This window comes from Homo sapiens, chromosome 5 (genome assembly GCF_000001405.40).
Source record: "Homo sapiens chromosome 5, GRCh38.p14 Primary Assembly".
Taxonomy (NCBI): domain Eukaryota; kingdom Metazoa; phylum Chordata; class Mammalia; order Primates; family Hominidae; genus Homo; species Homo sapiens.
In genome coordinates this window covers 116,694,903-116,720,524 of record NC_000005.10, presented here as the reverse complement: position 1 = coordinate 116,720,524, position 25,622 = coordinate 116,694,903, and the positions used below count along the sequence as shown (strand labels likewise).

The window sequence follows — 25,622 nt, the reverse complement described above, 5'->3', positions numbered from 1 at the left end:
TCTGAGACCACACTCTATGAAGCACAAATTAGAAATTGTGGTGTAATTATTTTTTATTTGTTCAGTTATTTGTATATAAATATTTGCAAGTGTAATAGTAAAAATATTTTAATTGAATATCACAAATCTCCATTATTGAGGCAATATGAATGCATGAAATTGGGGCTATTCCAAAAAACCTAAAATGCTGTAAATTAAAAAGCCCAAGAAACTGAATTAATTCCTGAAGATTAAATTGCTGGGAAAAGTAGAGAAAGTAAAGAAAGAGACTACTACCTGATTGGAAGTATGTTTAACACATAAATAGAATGTCTACTTTTCCATAGCAGGAGACTTGGCATATAACATATGGAATATTACTAAGCATGGACCTGCTGGCCCAAAGAGGCTCCCAGAAAATAAATCTATCTCCTGTGGCCTGCTCTCCATGGGCTTATATGTAAGTTTAATTCACTCTGGCCTTTAAAAAAAGATAATTAAAGTATAATTAAATATAGCATTCAACATATTCAAAAGCCTTCTAATAAATTCAATCCTCTTTCCCATTACATTGGCAAACAAGTAGACAAAAATTATATAAATTGGTAAAAGAAAAGGTTAGGCAAAAATCATATTTAAACCTTTCTAAAACTACTAAGTTTTCTCCCAAAAATAGTTCCTACTTTAGTCTTCCCTTCCTAAGACTCAATGGTGAAATATTCATGATGGAAGGAAGTTTCATGGTTAAGGGACTAAGTGCCTTATGATATATTGTGGACATTTGTTGTCTTTTGTCACTCAGCATGTTTCCTCTTGTGATATCAGTGCCTCAATGTTCCTTAAAGGAATCACCAGTCTTGACAATTTCTTGTGTTTGTAGGATATGGTTGTCCCCATCCCTAGAGGGATTGGCATATTACTTAGGGCTTATAAATCACCATATTCCATTTCTTAACTGTGTTGGTAGGTTAGAAACAAGTATGTGATCCAAATTACATTAAATGAGAGCCACTTCTGGTTCTATTACTGGACTTATTGGAAAAAGAGGTGCTCCTTCTGCTGGGATAGCTAAGCTGAGATAAATGGAGTTAAGGACCTGCTTGAGAACGAAGCCAACTGAAAGAAAAGTAAGGTTGAGTGACATATAGAAGCTATTGAGTCCTAAAGACATGATGTGAACTCCTACATCTAGCTATGCCAGAAGACATGTGTTATGTAGCTTTGAAATGATTCCAAACACATAATTTGCTACTGAGTGACATATGTTTTGCTGTGATAAGAGTTTGGAATAGAATCCCTCCTCCCCACGAGAATGTTAAGCCCTGCTTATCAGACCACATAAGTGAGTTATTTGCCTCAACTACTAGACTCCAAAATACATATAAACCCATAATTTTGACAGACAGATTGAAAGCCAGGGCTGTGGCAGAGCTACTCTCTCAGCCTTTAAGATACTCTCCAAAGCCCACCAACACTAGCACTACACTAGCATCAAGGGACCCTGCTTGTCATCTCGGATCTCTGCTGTGTTGGTCAAACTGTCTCGTCCCTGAACTTCTCATGCAAAGCTATGCCTTAAACTTTGATTGACTTTACATCCACAGAGGATTGTCTCCTTCCTAGTTTGGCAGCTAGACTTTAATAACTGGATTCCAAATGAAATAGGAACCCACTCACTATGTGATTAATGCAACCTCGCTATTGAGCGTGTACCCAGTAAGATTTGTTTTTGTTATTCTCTCCCTCCATCAGCATTTTGAAAAAACAAAAGAATCTGTTTGTATGGAAATAAAACATGTGATTTGTGAAATTACACTTTGATCAGTTCCTTATTTTAACCATACAAAACAACAGAACAATGTATTAATCCCTAGATTGTTAAAAGAACCAAAAAAAAAAAAAATCACACATACACACTCACACACACACCCTTTTTCTGCTAGTTTGAATTGAGTTTCAGTCAGTTACAAATGACATAGTTCTTAATAACACAATGGATGTTTGGGTGAGGGAAATTTTGTTCATGAGTGAATATAGGAAAGGCTTTATAATGATGTTCCCACATCAATCAGTCAAGACAACACACTAAGCCTGAGACTATCTGTGATGTTTTTATGGAACCCAATTTAGCAATAATGAGTAAACTGCCATAAATTTTCACTTATAATTTCCCACTAAAAAGTTTTTCTGGCTTTACTTCTCTGGAAATTTCAATAAGGTGTTTGTCCATTCATTTTACTTTAATACAGATCAATATGCACACTAAGGCATTCTCTGGTTCTCTCATTGAAATTCACAGTTAAGGAAGAGGTACAAGAGCATACATAAATATCCACATATGACAGAATTCCACGTTAAGTGGCCTCATCTTCGCATAGGCTGCAATGAAGGATCTTATGCTCTCCTGTAGCTCGGATAATTTAAAATACAATTTAAAAAAATATTTTGTGACAATTGGAATAGATTCCTGGGAAAGTTCTCAGAGAAACTTCTCTGCGAAATGGTAAATAAAGGATGGGAATCCTTACTCGTTAAAACTGGCTCTATTTTAAGGGAAGAAAATGTTCTAAACTGATGGTCCTCAAACATAATTTATGTATCAGAATCACCTGGAGAGATGATATATACACATATAGTTTTCTAGGTTCTATCTTATACCTTCTGATTTAAAATCTGCCTTCTAGTCCCAGGATTTAAAACAATGCTAAAGGTCAAGTGTTTAATTTTTTTCAAAAACTATAACTGTGCTCTTTATTTGTGTCATTATCTCACTAAATCTGCACAGTAACCCTATGGATTAGGTACTACTGGGATATGGAGTAGTTCTAATTTTTATGTTTGTGTTTATAAATTAGGAATATATGGTTTAAAAATTTGAGCACCCTTCTCAAAGTAATATGACAAGGAAAATCTATGACTCTAAACTCAAGACCCTTAACCTTTAACCTGTTCCCAAATACAGATATGATCAGCCAGTGTCATGTTTAATGCACAAAGTCAATAATTGAACTTTGCTAATAAATCATTAGAGAATCAAATAGAATAACACTGCTCACAAGGGTAAAATATGCAACGGAAACAGTATTCCTAAAAATAAAAGCTTTGTTACAGAGAGCTGTAAGAAATATTTATTCAACCCTGAAAAGCAAATTCTAAGAACAGGAAGGAAGGAAGGAAGGAAGGAAGTTAGGGAAGGAGGGAGGAAGGGAGGGAAGTGAGGGTTGGTGCTCATTTATTTAAAAGGTTTACATACAAGAGAACCTATATTCTCAATTACGAGAGATCTGTATCTCACCTCTTTCTTTAATAGCTAATTTAAGTCCCAATAGATACATGGAAATCATCATTGACTTTCCTCATTAAAAACAGAAAATAGCTATTCCAAAGAGCCAACACAATATTTCTTTAGGGTAGTAATTAAGTGATCCTTAATGCTCTCTATTTTTCCCCAATGTTTTAATTCCTGCCATGTCCTAAATGTTGATGTTCGGGCTCAGAGAGGGGCATCCTACAGCTGTCTAATACCTCATCAGTAGCCACAGCAATGGAGAGAGGCAGTAGATTTTTCAGTTTGTGAATTACAGAAGACCTTTGTTTTTCCCTTCCCTCCCACCAACTCCAACTAATTACACTAAAAATATACCCTGATTAATTTAATACCCATTTACCCCTTCATCAGAGGATAGTCAGAACCAAGAAAAACAAATATCCTTTTTGGAAGTAGGTACGATACAAAGAGATTAACAAACCATCTAGAAATAGTAGGAATCAGTATAATATGAGGAAAAGATTATGTTGAGAAAACAAAATTTTGAGTCCTTGTAAATGGCAATTTTTTGTTGTTGTTGTTGTTGTCCCAGATTTATTGAAAATAATACAGCATTGCAGAAAAAATTCAAACAGGTCCCCGAGGCATTTTATAATTCATCCCAACTGTAGGCTGAGTGACCTGCGGGTTGGACAGACTGCCGAAGTCCAAAAGCTTCAGCATTTCCTTAGTGTCAGGATCTACTTCAATTATCTCCTGATCCAAGGCTGAGACCTCAGAAACATAACTGTCTCTCCTTTCTCTCTCCTCCTCCTGCAGATTGATGGAGATACCTCTTCCTGGGCCTCTCTGAATCCGCTTCATCAGATGTGTGACATAGCCTGCTATCTTGTTGCAGAGCTTCTTGCTGGGGATAATGGCGATCTCCTCACACACGCGCTTGTTCGTGTGGAAGTCGTTGCCCAGGCACATGTAGTACTTTTCTATGATGCCCCAGGCCGCCTTCTTCACGGTTTTGGTGCGAATGAGGCCCATGTTGGCAGGTCCTTGGTAAAAGGGGCGTAAATGGCAATTTTAAGAATTTCCCTCACAATGGGAACAAGAATGGCTATTCCATCCCAAGTTCCCTTCCAGTTCAGAGTCACTTTACCTTCCCTAGGACACGTTTATTGGGAAGTTATATTTTTATTTGTTAATAAAATCAGAAAAACCTCATGATAGGTTATTTGTGTCACAATTCTATGCCAGTGTCATGCGTTTTATGTAAGTGGCTCTTCAGTCTTTCATCTCTGGCCATCACAGCCTCTAATGGCATTGATAGACTGCCTCAGTGTTTTTAATGGCATGCATCTGATACATCACTGGTTGCCAACATCCATATGCTTTTGCAGAATGTCCTGCTGATGGGCACGGAAAAGCTAATGGAAAAATCACCTTTGAAAATAAAACATCAATCCTTGACTTTCTGACTTAGTAAAGTTTTTTTTTTTTTCACATTAGGAATGGTAATACAAACCTGTGGTGATGTCCCTCAAAGAGATATACATACTTACAATTCTCCTTCAACAATTCCTGATAATGACAACTTAAATTAGGATAACTTTACAGATACTTAGCATGTTGATGCTTTTGGCTGGTCTTTTGTGTTTTTTATATTTATATTCTTCCTAATTTATGGCAAAGGAAGCCTTTTGCTTCTCTGAATAGTGGGAGAGTATTGTGACTTCATTCACTCATTCCTTTTTTCAACTTATTCATTGATCCCCTGTTATGTGTTAGTCAGTGACCGTACATAGAAAGCATATGAATAAAACTCATCTCAGGCTTCAATCCTCACAGCCTAGTGAAAGGTAAGAAATTGCATGCAAACAGTTATAAAGCAATATCATACTAAATAACCAAATCCTGTGATAGAAGCTTGGAAAAAGTGCAATGTGACCAACTGCTTAGGAAACAAAGGAAAGTCTTCCTTACCAGGTAAAACTCAACTAGAAAGATGAGGAAAGAAGACATTCCAAGTGGAGGGAATAATATGTACAAAAAAACAAGACGTATTAAAGAACATAGTATTCTTAGAGTTCAGAAAGTACTTTAGCAGAGCTAAACTCCAAATCATGTAGGAGACGTAAGGAGTAAATACTATAAATATATCCAGTTGAAGATTCTAATGTGCCTTCCATAGTATGCCAAGGAGTTTGAATGTTACCTTTTAGGCAATGGAGAGCTTTTTATTAAAGGATTATAAACAAAACAAATACACGATGTGATATGTTGTCAATGTTACCTCATTTCACCAAGGTGGAAACGAAAAAAAACCATTAGTTACTCTGTGGCATGAGAAACTTTGAGGTACAAAGAAGCATTTTCTGACAATAAGATTTGCTAAGTATTGGAAAGTGTTCCTGAGAGAGGTTGAAAAATCACCTCAGGAGGTCTTTAAAAATAGAACAAATTAATTTGTCTTAGATGCTTTAGAAGTGATTACCCATTACAGCAAGGGGATTCACTCCAAGTCTTGTCCAGATTTACAGTTTCATTGTTCCTAGAACACTGTAGCGGATAGAGTTCTGCATTGGTTAGCAATTTGTACTTGATCCTGTGGTTGCAGATTGATTACAAAATTACAGAAGCAGAATATTTACTTTAGAAATATGCATGGAATGGACTCTATATGCATGGGAAGCTACCTGGTGAAGACAGAGCAACTTGGCTTATAAGACAGGTACATTTTCCCTTTATTTTGTTATAGGCTTGTGAATGACCTTGATGCAACTCCATTTTTTAAAGGCTATCTGAAGACTAGAGAAGGTGCTATCAAGGATGAGGAAACACAATAATGAGCTATAGTAGAAATAAAGGAACTCATCCTAGATTAACTCAGTATGCAGGGGCACCTTGCATCAATGCTCAGGAAATCAGTTAAAACTAGCTATTACTGAAGGTGCCCTCTGAGGCCATTAATAATCTCCAGAAATGTCATAGCTTTTGAGTTTAGAAAATACATCCATGTATATTACCTTAACTGCTCTTCCCCAAAACACTGAACAAAGCTTTTACAAATGAGGACACGGAGGCTGAGAGAACTGCAATAACCTGCCCCAGTCTCTATAGCTACTAAGGGGCATAACCTAGATTACGCCTCTCTCAGAAACACTTTATCTGAATCTTAGTCCATGCAATATTTACAAAGTAAGGAAACAATGGTTGGGAGGGGTAGGGAAAAGAGAGAAAAGAAAGCAACAATCAAATCAAAATGCTAAATAAAATGATACCCAGAAACCAGAACTTGGTACATTGTCAGGGTCAAGAATAACACCAAAGCATATTATCAGTTCGCAAATACCTATTTTTGGTAAATAACAGCCTGAAAACTAAAAAACATTTCCTAAAACATGGATGAGGTAACACATTAAGAAGAGGCAAAAACAAACAAATGTTTTAAAAAATGCATTAACCATAATGATCAGTGTGTTGATAGAGTTCCATGTGACATATCTCATTAGCAATATAAAATAGCATGTATTATAAAATAAAATTTGTATTAAACTAGGTATAACAACTGAACTTTATTGAAACTAAAATACCATTGATCATAAGATACATTATTGTCGTAAGTCCTACTAAGGAAGAATATTGCCACCTAAACTGCAATATGCCATTGACTTGAAAGACATGTCATGATTTCAGGGATGCTAGGAGGAGAGAAAATAGTTGCATTTTAGAATATATGAAATGTAGTGGTTACATATATTACAGTGGGGTTTAAATATTAACTGGAGGCGCTAAGGGTCATATCAACCTCGTCTCCCAGTGATCTCTTTGGAGCTGGATTTTATATGAATAGAAGATCTACCACATAGTAATGAAGATGCCACAGTCCAGGGGCTTGATTCCATGTTAGAAAAAGCATTTTTAGAGGTACAAGGCAGAGGGCTTTGTTCTGAGAAATCATATACAAGGAGGTAATAGTAGAGAAAAATAGTATAAAATATTATAGGAACCATGGAGTATGGGGCTGGGTTCATCTAAAAAGACATGGGCTAGTGACGGACCCATAGAAGCCAACTACTGGAAGGGGAGGGAGTTAGTAAGTTGATTCTGGGGTGTGTAGAATCTAAGGCCTAGAGGAAGCAGGTGACCAACACATCCACGGGCCTTTGTACTAATCTAGCTCATCAAACACATCTAGCTCATTTATTATATGCTTCAATATGATAAATCCTAGAGGTAAAATTTTTCTATCAAAAGGTAAAAACATTTTAAAATATGATGATTACTGTTAAATTTCTTTTCAAAATGTTGTAATAGTTTATAAGCATTAAAATGCATAAAAATCCTTATTTTCCCATAACCCCACCAACTCTGTGTATTATCGGTTATTAAATGGTTGCAAACATAACACATTAAATATGAACATCATATCTCAATTTAATTCAAATTTTAACATTATTAACAAGGTTTAGAATATTCTTATTTGTTCATTGATAATCAATTATCTGACTTTTTTCTCCCAAATCACCTGCTTATATGTTTTGTGCAGATTCCCATTGGGTTATTGTCTTTACTTCATTGATTTTTAAAAACTGTTTACATATCACTGAAATTGTAATAGATAGATAGATAGATAGATAGATAGATAGATAGATAGATAGACAGATGGATAATAGATAGATAGATAATCACAGGGTTCTTTCCTTGATTTGTTATTTATTCTTTAAGTTATTTACAGTGTTTTTCACCATACTGAAGTTTCGGAATTTTATATTATAAAATACGTTAATCGTTTTCTTTATGATTTCTGATCTCTATGTCATATCTAAAAGACCTTCGTTACCTAAGTATAATAAAGTATTGCTTTTAAGGCTGGGCACAGTGGCTCATGCCTGTAATCCCAGCACTTTGGGAGGCAGAGGCAGGTGGATCACATGAGGTCAGGAGTTCGAGACCAGCCTGGCCAATACAGTGAAACCCCATCTCGACTAAAAACACAAAAAATTAGCCGGGCATGGTGGTGCATGCCTGTAGTCCCAGCTACTTGGGAGGTTGAGGCAGGAGAATCGCTTGAACCCAGGAGACGAAGTTTGCAGTGAGACAAGATTGTTCCACAGCACTCCAGCCTGGGTGACAGAGCGAGACTCTAGTCACAAAAAAAAAAAAAAAAGAAAAGAAATGAAAAAGAAAGTATTGATTTTAGTATTTTAATTGTTCTTGTGTTTAAATCTTTAGTTCAATGGAATTTATTTTTGTATTTGATACAAAGAGATATTTAACTTTGTAGTTTCAAAGAGAAATTCAATTGTCCTAATGTCATTCATTATAAAATACATTCCTGCTCCACAGATGTCCAGTGCAGTCTTTCTTTTCATATCTTAATGGACCCTCTTTACTGTTTTTTTATTTATTTGTTCATTATGTACTAACGCCATAATGTTTTAATTATATTACAGAATTTCTTAATATTTAGTAAGTTAAGTCTGTACACAATAAAATCCCTTTCAAAACAACTTTGAATAATAATCTTATACATATGATCTTTCAGATAATTTTTAAAAATCCTGGCAAGTTTCCTTCTACTGACTTCTCACCGAAACAATGTCAGGGTTATGATGGGAGTTTCAGAAGACTAATACATGAATTTGAGAAAGATAATATCCTGACTACTACATTTATTCATGAAATATGAAATATACTACATTTATTCAGCCTTATATCTTTTCAGGCAACTGTGACTGCTGAACCTCATGAAAAATTATACATTTGTCATTAAATTTATTGTGAGACTTTTCACAGTTGTTGATATCATTGAGATTTTTTAAACTAATGTTAACTATCTACTGCTGACATAAATAAACTACTTCTATGTATTCATTTTGCTTCCAAATACTTTTGTGAGTTCTAGTATTACTTTGAATACTATTTTGTTTAGATCTATTTAATTTGTAGGCATGTGGTCATTTTTGCTGCTTATATAATAATAATTTTATATTTTCTAATGCAGATGCCATTTATATATTGTCTGATTGCATTAACTAGAAAGAATCTTCAGAACAGTGTGAAAAAGTTGACAAGAGCGGCCGGGTGCAGTGACTCATGCCTGTAATTCCAGCACTTTGGGAGGCTGAGAGGGATAGATCACTTGAGGTCTGGAGTTCGAAACCAGCCTAGCCGTAATAGCAAAACCCTATCTCTACTACAAATACAAAAATTAGCCAGGCATGGTGGTGGGTACCTGTAATCCCAGCTACTAGGGAGGCTGAGACACAAGAATCACTTGAACCTGGGGTATGGAGGTTGCAGTGAGCCAAGATTATCCCACTGCACTCTAGCCTGGGCAACGGAGTGAGACTCCACCTCAAAAAAAAAAAAAAAAAAAAGAACAAAAAAAAAAAAGAAAAAGAAAAAGATGAAGAGAGCATCCGATCCTTCTTCTCTGAATTTAATATGATAGTTGTTGTTTATGTCTAAAAGTACTATTTTTTATACTTAGGAATTTTTTATCTTTTCCTATTTGTTTTTGAGCTTCCATCAATATTGGCTAAATTGATAGATGTGCTAATGTAGTATGCTTTCATTCCTTGAATATATACCATTTGATCATGCTCTATTTGTCAAAATAATTTAAAGCATCCTTGCTTTCATAGAATAAATTCCACTTAAGGAGGAAGTATTTCTTTATACAATTTTAATGTACATGCCATTCAAGATGTCTGCACCTATAGTCATTCTACATGTACTGAGGGAATCGGTCAGCATACAACTTCTCAGTCTTCCTCCCTCCCGCACCCCTATTTTTTGGAGTTTCACTCTATGCATCCTCAGCAAGGCCTCTAGTAAACCCTATACAGGTTTTGCAGCTTTTGTTTCTATGCAGGTCTTTCATTTCTAGAACTATGCTTTGCAATTTCTGGCCATGTCTACATTCCCACCTCCAACCTACATCTTCACAACTCATCAAGTCTTTGAGTAAGTTTCCTCTACCTTTGCCTATGTCTGAAAATCACTTCAAGCATTCAGCCAAGAAGATCTTAGGGCTTACCTCATTCATTCCCTTCTCTCAGGGATCATGGTGTGCACTGCCTGTTGCCGAATATCTAAAAATAGTTGTTCCATATATTTTGTCCAGTTTCACTGCAGAAAGTTAAGTCTGGTTCTTGTTACTCTTCCAAAGATGAAAACAGAATTCCTAGTACTCTTTTTATAACAGATACTTAACATTCTTTTTTGTTTCTGCAGTACTAAATTCTTTGTTTAGCTTTTGTTTTTTGTCATCTCTTGATGCAACTCATGTAATTTTGACTTTCTTACAAAGTTCATCTAGATTCCATCGTCTCAAGTTTTAAACTTTTAAATAATACTCCCTTCCATTAACAGCATTGCCAGATTTAGCAAATAACAATATGGGAAATTTAGTTAAACTTGAATTTCAGATAAAAATGAATAATAATTTGTATAATAATTATACACAAGGTAACGATTTTATATACTTACACTAAAAAAGAATTTATTGTTTATCTGAAATTTTTTTTTTTTTTTTTTGAGACAGAAACTCTACTCTCGCCCAGGCTGGAGTGCAGCGGCATGATCTTGGCTCACTGCAACCCTCCATCTCCCAGTTTCAAGCGATTCTCCTGCTGTAGCAGGACAAGCCGCAGACAAAACTCCTCAGACACTGAGTTAAAGAAGGAAGAGGTTTATTCGGCCGGGAGCACCGGCAGGACTCCTGTCTCAAAAGCCGAGCTCCCCGAGTGAGCAATTCCTGTCCCTTTTAAGGGTTCACAACTCTAAGGGGGTCCGCTTGAGAGGTTCATGATCAATTGAGCAAGCAGGGGGTACGTGACAGGGGCTGCATGCACCAGTGGTCAGAGTGAAACAAAACAGACCGGGAAGTTTTACAATGTCTTTCTATAATCTATAGATAATATCAGTTGCTAGGTCAGAGGTCGAATTTTAACTACCAGGCTTAGGTCAGGCAGGCCCAGGCCTGGTTTCAGGTCTGGTTCCTTGGTTTCAGGTCTGGTTCCTGGGCGCTGGGCTACCTGCCTTTAGTTTTGCTTCTCTTTCCTTCTCTGAGTATAAAACAAAATGAGAGGGTCTGTCTCTCTTCTCTCATTTCCCCTTTGAGACTCTCACTTTTTATTAGCGGGAGTTCTCACTCTTATTTCTGCTACTTATGTCTTTCTGTGCAATAGATTGATAATGATTCATATAGTACACTTGTGCTGATATATAATACAAAGTGACACTGAGAGACTGGGCTATATGCTTGGCTAATTGCAAAAACAAATTTCTTGTTTTTCCTGGAATTTCTGGTACTGGCACATTCAGTTCATCATAGAAGGTTTGAAATACTGGCTCAGGAGAGCGTTTGTAAACTTTTCTTCAAACTATGATATTTATTTGAAGATCCAGTCCAGCTCCATCAATTTCTAGGGTTACACATTCCTCTTTTTTTAGCGAGGATTAAGGGGGTTGGTTATTACTAGTTCTAAGGGGTTACACTGGCTACTGGTACAGGAAGGGCCACTTTTCCTTTGCTGAAGGTGGACAGGAGTTTTTCATTTTTTTCATCTAAGTAGCCTAAATGACACAAGACCAGTATCTACATTTATTTTTACACAGTCTTAATTTATGATAAATGTACTTATTTTCTGTCATATAACCTCTTTCTTAATTAAGAGAACCTCATCCTATTTTTAACTTATTATTAATAATAAGAGAGCACAGGCATCGAATTTTAAGGTGACTCATTTGGGCACCTTTTTGTTTGTCTATTTTGGCTAACACTTTACTTGTATCCTTTATGAGCCTCCACCAGTCCTCAGTCCTTAATCTTATTTTAAAAACTGTGGTCATGGGAGGCTCAGATGGGTCATAACACACATCAGGTTGGTCATTTCCTGGGCTACATACCTTGTATAGAATAACATTATACAAACAAGTTTTTTTTTAGAGTTTCAGCACACTTATAATAACCATAAAATAATAGGACCATAGCAACCTTTCGTGCCACTTTAGTGACTTGATTTATATACTGGGAACAGCCTTCAGTCTGAGGAAGGTCAGTTGAAGTCCTTACTGTACAAGTCTAAAAGTTAAGGAAAATGAGTCCTGCGATGAGTTTTTTCATGCTTGGGCTGTGCGTGGACCAGTCAGCTTCCGGGTGTGACTGGAGCCGGGCTTGTCATCTTTAGAGTCACTTTGCAAGGGTTGGCGAAGCTGTTCCTGTCCATGTACAGCTCACAGTCTACTGATGTTCAAGGATGGTCTCAGAGGTTGGGCCTGCTAGAATAAACTGAGTCCAATATCTCTAAACAGTTATGTACAACTGGGCTGGGTGATACCGGGAGCAAGGTGGTGGGGTTTAGGGTGTTGCAAACTTCAATGGTTATGCAGGGATTTTTATAGAACAAGCTTTGGTATCTAGTAGCATTCGTTAGCTAATGATGTCCTTTGGTATTTATTAAAGTCACCACAGCATGGGGGGACTTTATGTTTCAGTTTTGCCTAAGAGTTAGCTTATCTGCTTCTTGTGCTAACAGGGCCATTGCTGCCAGGGCCTTTAGACATGGGGGCCAGCCTTTGGAAACCTTGTCTAGCTGTTTTGAGAGATAGGCCACTGGCCTTGGCCAGGGCCCTACAGTCTGGGTTAAAACTCCAACTGCCATTTTTTTTTTTTCCTTTTTTCAACACATACTGTGTAAAAAGTTTTGTCAGATCAGCTAGCCCTAGGGCTGGGGCCAACCTGAGTTTTTCTTTTAACTCATGAAAAGCTTGTTGCTGTTGGTTGTAATAGATGTAGTTTATTTAATCTACATTTTTATTAACTGTCACCTACTGAAATATTGACTTAAATCTTGTAGCTATTTGATTTCAAGCTTTAAATTGATCTGGTATTCCTTGCAGGCCTCCAATTGCATCTAAATAGATGTAAGAGTTGAAAGACCTATAAGGGGCTTCTCTCGCTTTACGATGTTTTATATTTTCTCCTTCTGGTTGATGAAATGCCAGGGTGAAAGGGATAGCCAAATGGACTAAAGCACAAGTCCCACTCTAGTTATTCAGCAGAGTGCGTAGTAAAGGTCCACCATAATACCACCACACATCCGCTCAGGGATGAACAGGGGCCTCATCGCATCCTTTCAGGTCTCCAAGGAATGCTGTTTCCTCCCTGTTGTGAGAGACACGAAGTGAACTTAGTGTTGGGAGATGGAAGCTGGATGGCCCTCGGGGGCTGACCTGCAGGGTGCCGGACTTCAGGATATAGCAGAGAGAGCTTGGCATGAATTATTACTCCAGGCTGTAAAATCCTGGAAAAGGGCTACCATGAAGCCTACGCCTGGTCGACTGGAGGACCACCTTAGTGGAAGAGGGACAATCTGGGCCTCTGGCCTGCCATGTGTACAAGCATAACAATTGCTTTTATTTAACGTGCAGATGGAATATTTGATCCATTTTAACCAGGCATTTGCATCTTGGTATCTTGTCTTAATTGCTAAAGTTTGTCTTAAGTCTTTAACTTCTATGATCTTTTAGAAAAATGAATGTATGATTTTAGGAAATTACAAAAACCAGTTGGGGCAGTCCATCCTTGTTCTTTAGTGGTCCACAGAATGTTGGACCAACTATGGCATGAAAGCTCTGCCTCAGGGGGCAAGACTCCTGGTTGGCACTGGGGCCTTTATTGAAATCTCCCTGGATTAAATGGCCTTAGTTTACTAATGCCCAGTCTGAGGAGAGTCAGGAGGGACAGAAGTACTTTTCTGAAGTAGACAGCTGTCTTTGACTTGGCAAGTCCTCACAGGCTATAACAAGGCAAGCATTAAATGCAACAGTTTGAGGCGAAATTGACTTGGTTATGTTAATAACTAGATGGTCAGCAATAGAGCGCGAAAAGAAGAACGAGTAATAGAATAGATGAAAATAGTTAGATTTTTCTTAGCTTTAGTTTGGTAGAGTTTTCCTCTGGGACTACGGCCTACGAGTCTGGAGGGGGTGGCACTTTCTTGACTCGGATGTGAAGAGTCCATCCTTTTTTGCTGTACGAACAGCAGTCTTGGTGGTTAGCAGCGCAAGGTAGGGTCCTTCCCAGGCTGACTGGAGTTTTTCTTCTTTCCACCTTTCGATGAGAACGTGATCTTCAGGCTGCTGCTGGTTTACCGGAAATTCTAAGGGTAGTACATGTGCTAAAAGACTTTTAGTTTTGAGGGAAAGGAAAGTGGAAGGTAAACCAAGTATATAATTTCTAAGAAATCGACCTTTTGTTTTGAATGTGGGGACCTTGGCAGTGGACTTTATAGTCCTTAGTGCCTTTTTACTGAGAAATTTCCTTTAGCACCTATTTTTATTAGCCTTTAGACCAAAGAGAGCTAAAAACCATTTTATATTTAATAATGCTTTTTGTATGATTTTTATACCAGATAAGCTAAATTTTATCTTTATATTAGTGTGTTATTAATGTTAAACTTAATTTTAATAAAATCTTGTAGACATATTTATCTAATTTTTAATGTTTGACTATAAGGTAAGATGTTTTAGACTCTTTTTAACCATTTATAATTTTTGTTAAAGAACAGGTTGGTGCTTTAAGAAAAACCTGTTATGCTTTTATTTAATGTCCGGTTTACAGAAAAACTGGATGATACTTCTTTAACTTTAGCTAATATGTTTACACACAGAATTTACACACAATTAATGTTTTAAAACTTCCTTAAACCTTTAAAACAAAATACACATATTTTTAACCTTTTAATGTAGGTAAAAATCCACATTCTTATGCCTCCTTATAATCCTTTTACCAAATATATACTTTACTTTCCTTATACACCTTGCACATAAACTGTCTCTTCAATAGTTTTACATTTAGGAGGCCTAATTACTTTTAAATTATACATTTCTTGCATAAATTCTTTCTTTTTAACACACTTTTTTTTATAACTTTTTCTTTTCACGACTTTTACAGGCAATTTTTCGACATGCCTTAACTTTCTGACTTATTACAAACATTTCTTTCTTTAAACAACCAGTTAATATATTTCAGGACAATAATTTACCATATAACATTCTTTTTATATAAATTCCACCCTCCCTTTTTTTTTTTTTTCCAAAGATGATAACTATTCTTTTCTCCTCAGACACCGAGTTAAAGAAGGAAGAGGTTTATCGGCCGGTAGCATCGGCAGGACTCCTGTCTCAAGAGCCGAGCTCCCCAGGTGAGCAATTCCTGTCCCTTTTAAGGGCTCACAACTCTAAGGGAGTCCGCATGAGGAGGTCATGATCAATTGAGCAAGCAGGGGGTATGTGACAGGGGCTGCATGCACCGGTGGTCAGAGTGAAACAGTTCTGTTTCAGAAACTGTTTCAGAAAAGTTCCCAGAACAGACTGGGAAGTTTTACAATGTCTTTCTATAATCTATAGATAACATCAGTTGCTAGGTCAGGGGTCGAATTTTAACTACTAGGCTTAGGTCAGGCAGGCCCAGGCCTGGTTTCAGGTCTGATTCCTTGGTTTCGGGTCTGAATCCTAGGCACCTTTAGTTTTGCTTCTCTTTCCTTTTCTGAGTATAAAACAATATAAAACAATATGAGAAGGTCTGTCTCTCTTCTCTCACTGCCTCATCCTCCTGAGTAGCTGGGATTACAGGCATGCACCACCACGCCCGGCTAATTTTTTGTATTTTTAGTAGAGACAGTTTCACCACTTTGGCCAGGCTGGTTTCAAATACCTGACCTCAGGTGATGTGCCTGCCTCGGCCTCCCAGAGTGCTGGGATTACAGGCGTGAGCCACTGCGCCCAGCCTAAAATTTAAATTTTACTAGGCGTATAGTATTTTATCTGGCAAGCCTATCCATTAAGTATTTTTGTTTAAAAAAAAAAAAACAGTTTTGGTTTTATTGATAAGTCCAGTGTTCTTTAAAGTCTCTTTGATAGGTTTTTAAATATATATATAGTAATTTCCATCTTTTATTTATTTCTCGCTTTCACCTGCAATTTATTTTGTTCTTTTTTCTAAGTTTCCTAGGTTGTTCCCTGAACTAAGTCTCTGATTCATTTTATTAAAATAGAAAGGTTAAAGTCATGAAGCTTACTCTGACTGGGGCTCTATTCGCATTATGGAGATTTCTCAATGAAGAGGGCTCATTTACATTAATTGCTAAAGCATTTGTAATCTCCGTTGTTTTTGTTCGTTTGTTTCCTCTCGATTCAAGAGTCATTTAGAAGAGGTTTTTTTATTTGAAGTAGATTTTTATTATTTTGTTTACTGTAGAAATTCAATATTTTGGTTTTTTGGTAGGAGAATATGTTGTACAAGTGTTCTACTTTGGGGAAATAATATTAAAGCTTTTTGTAGGCCAAGTATGTAATTAAATCTTGTATATGCTTTATAAACATGAGGGGAAAATATATATTTTGTGTTTATTGAGGTCAAATAGAGAAATACAACAAAGTCAGTTAATTCCATTATTTAAATCCTTCAAGCTCATACTTGTTACTGGCCCAGTTTACCTTGAACAAGATGCTGACAAATAGAAATCACGCTACACTTGTGTTCAAGAGCTGCAAATGCAATAAGTTTTGTGCTCCATGATTTATGAAGCATTTTTAAACATGACTGAATTTCTATGAAAAAGTGTCCTTTTACAGGGATTTATTACATAATATATCACCGTAGGCCAATTAGACCCTGTTCAAAGGATAGAAAAGGCCAAAAACATGAATGAGATTATGTAGGTAAAATGTCTCATACAATTCACCAAAGCCACACTTGCCCAGTGTTCCATATGAAAATCACAGTGCATGCCGGGTGCAGTGGCTCATGCCTGTCATCCCAGCACTTTGAGAGGCCGAAGCAGGCAGATCACCTGAGGTCAGGAGTTTGAGACCAGCCTGGCCAACATGGTGAAACCCATCTCTACTAAAAACATGAAAATTAGTCGGGCATGATGGTGCATGCCTGTAAATCCCAGCTTCTCGGGAGGCTGAGGCAGGAGAATTACTTGAACCCAGGAGGCAGTGGTTGCAGTGAGCTGAGATCTTGCCATTGCACTCCAGCCTGGGCAACAAGAGTGAAACTTCATCTCAAAAAAAAAAAAAACAAAAAAACAAAAAAACAAAACAAAAAGAAAAGCACAGTGCTCATTGTTTTCATTCATGGATTGCTTGAGGGATATAGAGAAAGCTAAGAGAGATTCTGTAAGATTTTAAGTTAGCTTCCAAACTCAAAGTCTGGGCAGGCAAAAATCAGAATTTTACCCTTCCCTAACAAATTGGGGGCTGGGTAGGGGAGCAGAAACTGGAGGTTAGATGTGACTAATACATATTAGTCAAACACAAAGCAAAAGGAAGAATTAGGTCACAGCCATGTATAATTATGAAAACTTGCAAATGAACTTGTTTTTGGTTTTCAGAGCTTTTCAATGGATAGTTCCTGAAATGCTGGGCCATGCAGAGACATCACAATTGTAAAAACACAAGGAGGCTAGGACTCTCGACCATACACTGATGTTGCTTATTCTCTCTTTTCCAAGTTTCTTGGAAAAACCAGAGCTACTGTGCATTTCTAACCTTCAACTAGTTGACAATAATGGGATTCAAGTATTTTTCAGGAGTAGGTATATTGCACAGTGATTAAAGCAAAGCTAAGGAACTAGACATCCTAGGTTTACATTATAGCTTTGATACTTCCTAGACAAATTACATAAAGCTTCTCTCTAAAGCTCCATTTCTCAATTTTAAAATGGGAATGATGATGATAATGCCTACCTCTAAGAATTATAGGAAATTATTCTTACAAAACATTCTCCACAAACCTGACACTCAATAAATATTACCCAGTGTTAAAGAACGTATTGTATCGGGGCTGGGTGCAGTGGCTCACGCCTGTAATCCCAGCACTTTGGGAGGCCAGGTTGGGCGGATCACGAGGTCAGGAAATTGAGATCATCCTGGCTAACACGGTGAAACCCCATCTCTACTAAAAATACAAAAAATTAGCCGAGCATGGTGGCGGGCGCCTTTTGTCCCAGCTACTCGGGAGGCTGAGGCAGGAGAATGGCATGAACCCGGGAGGCAGAGCTTGCAGTGAGCCGAGATCGCGCCACTGCACTCCAGCCTGGGCGACAGAGCGAGACTCCTTGGTTTTGTTTTGTTTTTGAGACTGAGACTCACTCTGTTTCCCAAGCTGAAGTGCAGTGGTACAATCTTGGTTCACTGCAACCTCCACCCACTGGGTTCAAGCGATTCTCCTTCCTCAGCCTCCCGAATAGCTGGGACTTCAGGCGTGTGCCACCATACCTGACTAATTTATGTATTCTTAATAGAGATAGGGTTTCACCATGTTGGCCAGGCTGGTCTCGAACTCCTGACCTCAGGTGATCCGCTGAACTCGGCCTCCCAAAGTGCTGGGATGACAGGCATGAGCCACCATGCCTGGCCTGTATCATATCTTGGTCTAGCAGAATCTGTGAGTAGAAATGCTTTTCACATGGTTTGTTTAAGACTCTTCAACATCCTGGTTCTTGAGCTGTTCAGGAATAATCCCATCCATGTCTTTCACTATTGGCAACCTAAAACTCATTTTCTAATTATTGCAATTGTATATCTTCTCAGAAAATTGAAAGGGCTTCATCTGAACCATTGATCAAGTCAACTCAATGATTTCAGGTATATAGCACAAATCCCCAAAAAGGCTGCTCTCCAGAAATCTCCCTCCAACTGACCCAAGAAGGAAGACATTTGGTAACCCACCCTAACATAATAAGCTCTGTAATTAGATTGCAGATTCTCTGAGAACCAAGGTCCTATATCTTTTTTTCCATGTTGTTTCCACAAGCTGGAACAATGCCTGGCCCATGTTACATGTACAATAAATTTTTTTTTTTTTTTTTTTTTTTTTTGAGACGGAGTCTCGCTCTGTCACCCAGGCTGGAGTGCAGTGGCACAGTCTCGGCTCACTGCAAGCTCCGCCTCCCGGGTTCACGCCATTCTCCTGCCTCAGCCTCTCCGAGTAGCTGGGACTACAGGCGCCCGCCACCACGCCCGGCTAATTTTTTTTTTTTTATTTTTAGTAGAGATGGGGTTTCACCGTGGTCTCGATCTCCTGACCTCGTGATCCACCCGCCTCGGCCTCCCAAAGTGCTGGGATTACAAGCGTGAGCCACCGCGCCCGGCCTACAATAAATATTTTTAAACACATTATGGAAAAGATATTGATAGCAAAATTAAAGGAAGTATTTTTTTAAAAATCTTCAAAGTTTCCAAAGGTATAAAATTGTAGTATACCAAAAGCCAGCCCAGCAAATGCAAAGGGGAACATTAGGTCTGATTTTCAGAAATTGTGATGGGTTTAAAATGGAAACAAACATGGCTGGAGAGGCAGTTTGGCAAATGAAAGGCTCATGAGGTTGGCAGTCAGAATGCTTAGGTTTCAGACTTAGCTGAGCTGCTAGGCAAGCCACTTACTCTTTATAAGCCTCAGCCTAGTTTTTAAAGTAGCAGTTGCCATGCTCATGCCACAAAAAAAGTTCAAATGAGACAAAGCATTAAAAAGGCTTTAAAACCTAGAAGGTTCTCCACAATACACACTACTGTTCAAAAATGTGAAGTACAAGAATTATGTTTGTTACACCAAGCACATAAGGAATAAGCTTAGTCATAAAGGGAAAATTGCAAGAAATATAAATATTTAGCAACACTATTTTCTAAAAAGAAGAAATCCAAAAACTATGTCTAGATAGTCGATGTTCACTGTGTAGTTTGGTTTTTTGTTTTTTTGTTTTTTGAGACGGAGTCTCACTCTGTCGCCCAGGCTGGAGTGCAGTGGTGCGATCTTGGCTCACTGCAAGCTCTGCCTCCCGGGTTCATGCCATTCTCCTGCCTCAGCTTCCCGAGTAGCTGGGACAAAAGGCACCCGCCACTGCGCCCAGCTAATTTTTTGTGTTTTTAGTAGAGATGGGGTTTCACCGCGTTAGCCAGGATGGTCTCGATCTCCTGACCTCCTGATCTGCCCGCCTCAGCCTCCCAAAGTCCTGGGATTACAGGCATGAGCCACTGCGCCTGGCCCATTGTGTAGTTTTTAAAAAGAACATCTAATCATATATGCTGTATTTACTGCTGAGAAAAGCCATTTTGCATTTTATATACTTTTTTCTTTTTCTTTTTTCTTTTTTTTTTTTTTTTTTGAGATGGAGTCTTGCTCTGTCACCCAGGCTGGAGTGCAGTGGCGCGATCTCGGCTCACTGCAACCTCTGCCTCCTGGGTTCAAGCGATTCTCCTGCCTCAGCCTCTGGAGTACCTGGAATTACAGGCACACGCCACCACGCCCAATTTTTGTATTTTTAGTAGACATGGGGTTTCACCATATTGGTCAGGCTGGTCTCAAACTCCTGACCTCGTGATCTGCCTGCCTCAGCCTCCCAAAGTGCTGAGATTGCAGGCATGAGCCACCGTGCCTGGCTTCTTTTCATTTTTATGCAAAATTAAACTTATTAATTGTCTTCATTTATGGAACAAAAACAGCATCTGCTGCTTACACTGTTCTTTTCCTATCTTATCAACAGAGCCAAGAAAATCTATGAAATATGCTGATGGAAGGATTTAAGAATCTCAGAAAACACATCTATTATTCTAAGCACAAACATAAAAGATTGCAGAAGTAAACAGAAAGAAAAAGGCTATACCAAAAAAAAAAAAAAAAAGAAAGAAAGAAAAAGAGGAACACACACTAGTGTGCACAAACATGCAAATTCCTTCTAGTATCTCTCTGAAAAAGCAACTAGGAAAGAATTTTCGTAAACTTTCACAGTTGTTCAAACTGATGAGATGGTTAGCCAATGACACAATTGCTTTGTAAAAGAGTTAGGATAATACTAAAATGCTAGCTGAAAGTGCTTTCTTTCCCTGGTTGTTTTGATGGAATATTTGTTATAGTGATCCTGCTACTTAGAAAATCTTTAGTTTTATTGGTTACTATTGTGAAAATAAACATGGACAAAGTGAGTAAATGTTTATACCAGGGTATAGAATCTCTTGGACATGAATTTCTAAATGTTTTGTACTTTTATACATGCACAAACATGGCCATTAAGAAAACACAAGATCCGTGGTTTATGCTTTAGAAAATAATGTTTCTGAGAGGGGTAAATTGTTATTTTCTTAATTTCATACAGTAAAGGCTTTATATATCATTTTCTTTTGGCTAGTGTCCATTGTAGTTCATCAAACTTTCCTAATTCTGTTTATCTTAAAAATCTGTATTTTGTTTCCTTTCATTATCTTTTCTGAAATTATCATCTTCTCCCTTTCTACTGTATCAGTTCTATCAGCATACAAACATTTTCTTATTTCTCCCATTAAAAAAAGTGCAGACTCCATGAACTCTTCCAGCTATTGCCTTATTTCTCTGCCTTCCTTTATATCAAAACTTCATTAAATAATTGTCTATGCTTAGAGTCTCCATTTCCTCAACTCACATTCTCTCCTCCACTCACTCTTATAACGATCTGGTCCTCACTGTTCCACAAAAAGCACTCATAGATATCACCAGTGATCTCCACCTTTTCAAAACCATGCTCAATTTTCAGGCTCATTTTACTCACCCTTTCCTCAACATTTGACACAGTTGCTTCCTCCCTTATACATCAAATATTTTCTTTTTTTTTGAAATGGAGTCTCGCTCTGTCGCCCAGGCTGGAGTGCAGTGGCGCAATCTCTGCTCACTGCAAGCTCCGCCTCCCGGGTTCATGCCATTCTCCTGCCTCAGCCTCCCAAGAAGATGGGACTACAGGCACCCGCCACCACGCCTGGCTAATTTTTTGTATTTTTAATAGAGATGGGGTTTCACCGTGTTAGCCAGGATGGTCTCGATCTCCTGACCTCGTGATCCACCCACCCCAGCCTCCCAAAGTGCTGGGATTACAGGCGTGAGCCACCGCGCCCGGCCCAAATATTTTCTTTACTTAACTACCGGGATAACACTCCTTGTTTTCTTCCAATTTGAAGGGCCGCTATATTTCAGTCCCCTTTGCTGGCATTTCCTCCACCTCCAAATATCTAAATGTTGAAGTGTCCCAAGTTTCAGTCTTTAGGCTCTTCTCCTCTTTTTTTTTTTTTTTTTTTTTGAGACGGAGTCTTGCTCTGTCGCCCAGGCTGGAGTGCAGTGGCGCAATCTTGGCTCAGTGCAAGCTCCGCCTCCCGGGTTCACGCCATTCTCCTGCCTCACCCTCCCAAGTAGCTGGGACTACAGGCGCCCGCCACCACGCCCGGCTAATTTTTTGTATTTTTTAGTAGAGGCGGGGTTTCACCGTGTTAGCCAGGATGGTCTCGATCTCCTGACCACGTGATCCGCCCGCCTCGGCCTCCCAAAGTGCTGGGATTACAGTTTTGAGCCACCGGGTCCGGCCTTCTCCTCTTTTCTATGTTTACTCACCCATAAGTCTTTTTATCCACTTCATGACTTGATGTAAATCCTAAATGACTCCCACATTTATATCTTAGCCCTCGCCTCTCCTACACTGCAGACACTGATGTGTAACTACCTACTCAAGATTTCCATTTTGACATCTAATAGGTATCCCAAACCTAACATTTTCAAAGGAAACCTCTTTAGTGTACCCTCCCGCACCAGAACTTCTCGTTCCCCTGCTTTCCCACATTAGTAAATGAGAGTCCCAGTTACTCACTTGCCCAGGTACTGCATTGTGTGCTGCAGTGAGTTAGGCTATTCTCCTCTATATCTTTTTTTCTACATTCAAGTTAAACATAAAAAGAACCACCCCCCACATTTTTTTTCCCCCGAGACGGAGTTTTGCTCCTGTTGCCCAGGCTGGAGTACAATGGCTCCATCTCTGCTCACTGCAACCTCCACCTCCTGGGTTCAAGCAATTCTCCTGCCTCAGCCTCCCGAGTAGCTGGGATTACAGGCGCACACCACCACACCCGGCTATTTTTTGCATTTTTAGTAGAGATGGGTCTCACCATTTTGGTCAGGCTGGTCTTGAACTCCTGACCTCAGGTGATCCACCCGCCCCAGCCTCCCAAAGTGCTGGCATTACAGTCAGGAGCCACCGCGCCTGGCGAAAAACCCGTTTTGATAGAATCCCCTGCCCAATCTGATTGTGAGGTACCCATATTTGTAGATATTCTGCAATATCAGAATATTCTGCCGTTTAAAAAACTGACCTAAGGTTGACCTTACCATTTTAATTGATATGAAAATTGTTTTATGTATTTCAGTTGTCATAATAGTTTACGTACACCCTTAGGTGAAAAAAGGGTGTGTGTGTGTGTGTGTGTGTGTGTAAAATAAATTGTGGTACATTTATACAATATAATACTACTAACAATGTAAATGCACAGATGTTACTATATCCAAAACTTGGATGAATCACAAACATAATTTTAAGCAAAGTTTTTAAAACAGGCAAAGTTAATAATTTATGGTTTTGGAAATCAGGAGAGGAAAAGGAAAAGGGCATATGTGTCCCTCATCAAAAAACTGAAATCAACAAAGCAATATTTATATTTCTGTATCAAAGCTGCTGATTCCACTGCGTTTTTTTTTTTCTTTTTCAGCACAATTTTCACTCCTCTTTTTAACTAAAAACTGTCTCCTGGCTTCAGTTGCAAGGGATCTTCATGAGTGCGACACAAAAGAGAGTGGGAGAAAAGCATGAACTACAGCCCAGAACAGAATGACTAATTCCTGGAGGACGAATTTGCATTCAGCTTGAAGGCCAAGAGGTTAGCATTTCCAACACAAAACAATTTCGAGTGGGCTCAATGCTCCCAGTCTTGTCTTATCCTGGAACCGTCTCTGAATTCCCCTCTTTCCTTGTTGCTGTGCCTATGTCCTACTCCAGAGAGAGCTGATGGTGAGATGGAACACAAGATTTCAGAATTACATTTAGTTTGTAAGGAGCTCTGCTGTATTTGTATTTGAGAATAAAAAGCACTTTGGAAATATATGTGATTATTATTGCATTAGAAGTAAACCTGGGATAAGAAAAAAATCCATTAACAAGTGTTTCTGCTAAATGCTTTCTCGGGTGGCCATTCAGAGATACATTTGAAGATGCAAAATCGTAGGAGATCCAATTATATCTTCCTGATAAGAAATGCTTTAAGTGTCCAACAAGTGCTAATCACAGAAAGCCATCAGAGAACTACAATTTCTAATACAAGCAAAAAGCAAATCTTTCTCTCAAGGGCAACATCCTAAAGACTTGCTTAAATAATAACATTTTAGAGACTTCCAAAATAACTTGGCTATATTTATACAAGCTACGGTCATAAAAACAACTTGATCTTACAGTTTATGGCCAGCCTAGGAAATTTAGAAAGACTGGAGTTTTCCATTATTCTCTGAAATCTGTAACATTAGGTCAAAGTCTATTATTTCAAATTAGGGTTAAAATAATAGCAGAAATGGATTGCATGTTTTAATGTTAACAAGATGTCTCCTTGTTTTGCTAAAAACCCTTATTTTATGTAAGTAATACACATAGGCTCAGCCCTTGCATATGGGTAAAACGCTCCTTTGCAGCTAAAAAACTGAGATGATATTCATAAAGCATATGAGCCACTGACCACGTAACAGGCACCAGGAAAATGTTAGGTACTTTCCCTTTTCCCCAAGGGGTTCCTTGTTTTCTCAATTTTTTTTTCTTTCTTTCTTTTTCTTTTCTTTCTTTCTTTTTTTTTTAGGTGGAGTTTCACTCTTCATTGGCCAGGCTGGAGTACAAATGGTGCAATCTCGGCTCACCGCAACCTCTGCCTCCCAAATTCAAGTGATTCTCCTGCCTCAGCCTCCTGAGTAGCTGGGATTACAGGCACGCACCATCATGCCTGGCTCATTTTTGTATTTTTAGGAAAGACAGGGTATCACCATGGTGGCCAGGCTGGTCTCGAATTCCTGACCTCAGGTGATCCACCCGCCTCAGCCTCCCAAAGTGCTAGGATTAAAGGCATGAGCCACTGCACCCAGCCTGTTTTCTCAAATTTAATTAATGATCTTAAAAACAGAAATAATAACAACAACTGTAAGTATTTTTCAGTTGGTGTCTACTGTATGTAGTCATTGTGGAAATCTCTATACATTAAATATTCTCTAATTTGTGCAACAACTCTATGGAATAGATGGTATTATTATCCTCATTTTATATACAAGGTTAAGAAAATTGTCCACAATTTAGATAGCAAGCTTAAAAAGGCAGACCACTTCCTCTCCCTAGGTGGTCAAAAGGGACTATCTAGAAATTTCTTTTGATATATTGCAATGAGTCTGTGAGACAGAAGATTGCTGGCTCTGAACTGTAGACTCTTACATGTTTTTACACAAGTCTTTAAAAAATCAACTTGTTAAAGGAGATTGGTTAGCTCT

The 25,622-nt window shown here is 38.3% G+C and overlaps 1 pseudogene, besides 2 other annotated features; it reads right to left on the bottom strand.

Moving 5' to 3' along the window:
• Positions 3,829-4,307, bottom strand: RPS17P2 (ribosomal protein S17 pseudogene 2; annotated as a pseudogene).
• Positions 15,224-15,950: an enhancer, noted in NCBI's record as "OCT4-NANOG-H3K27ac hESC enhancer chr5:116040271-116040997 (GRCh37/hg19 assembly coordinates)". NCBI's record gives its function as "activates a minimal SCP1, AML or CMV promoter by ChIP-STARR-seq in naive H9 embryonic stem cells {active_cell/tissue: H9 hESC(naive)}" and the evidence as "EXISTENCE:reporter gene assay evidence [ECO:0000049][PMID:30033119]".
• Positions 15,718-15,817: an enhancer, noted in NCBI's record as "active region_22949". NCBI's record gives its function as "activates an Ori minimal core promoter by ATAC-STARR-seq in GM12878 lymphoblastoid cells {active_cell/tissue: GM12878}" and the evidence as "EXISTENCE:reporter gene assay evidence [ECO:0000049][PMID:35858748]".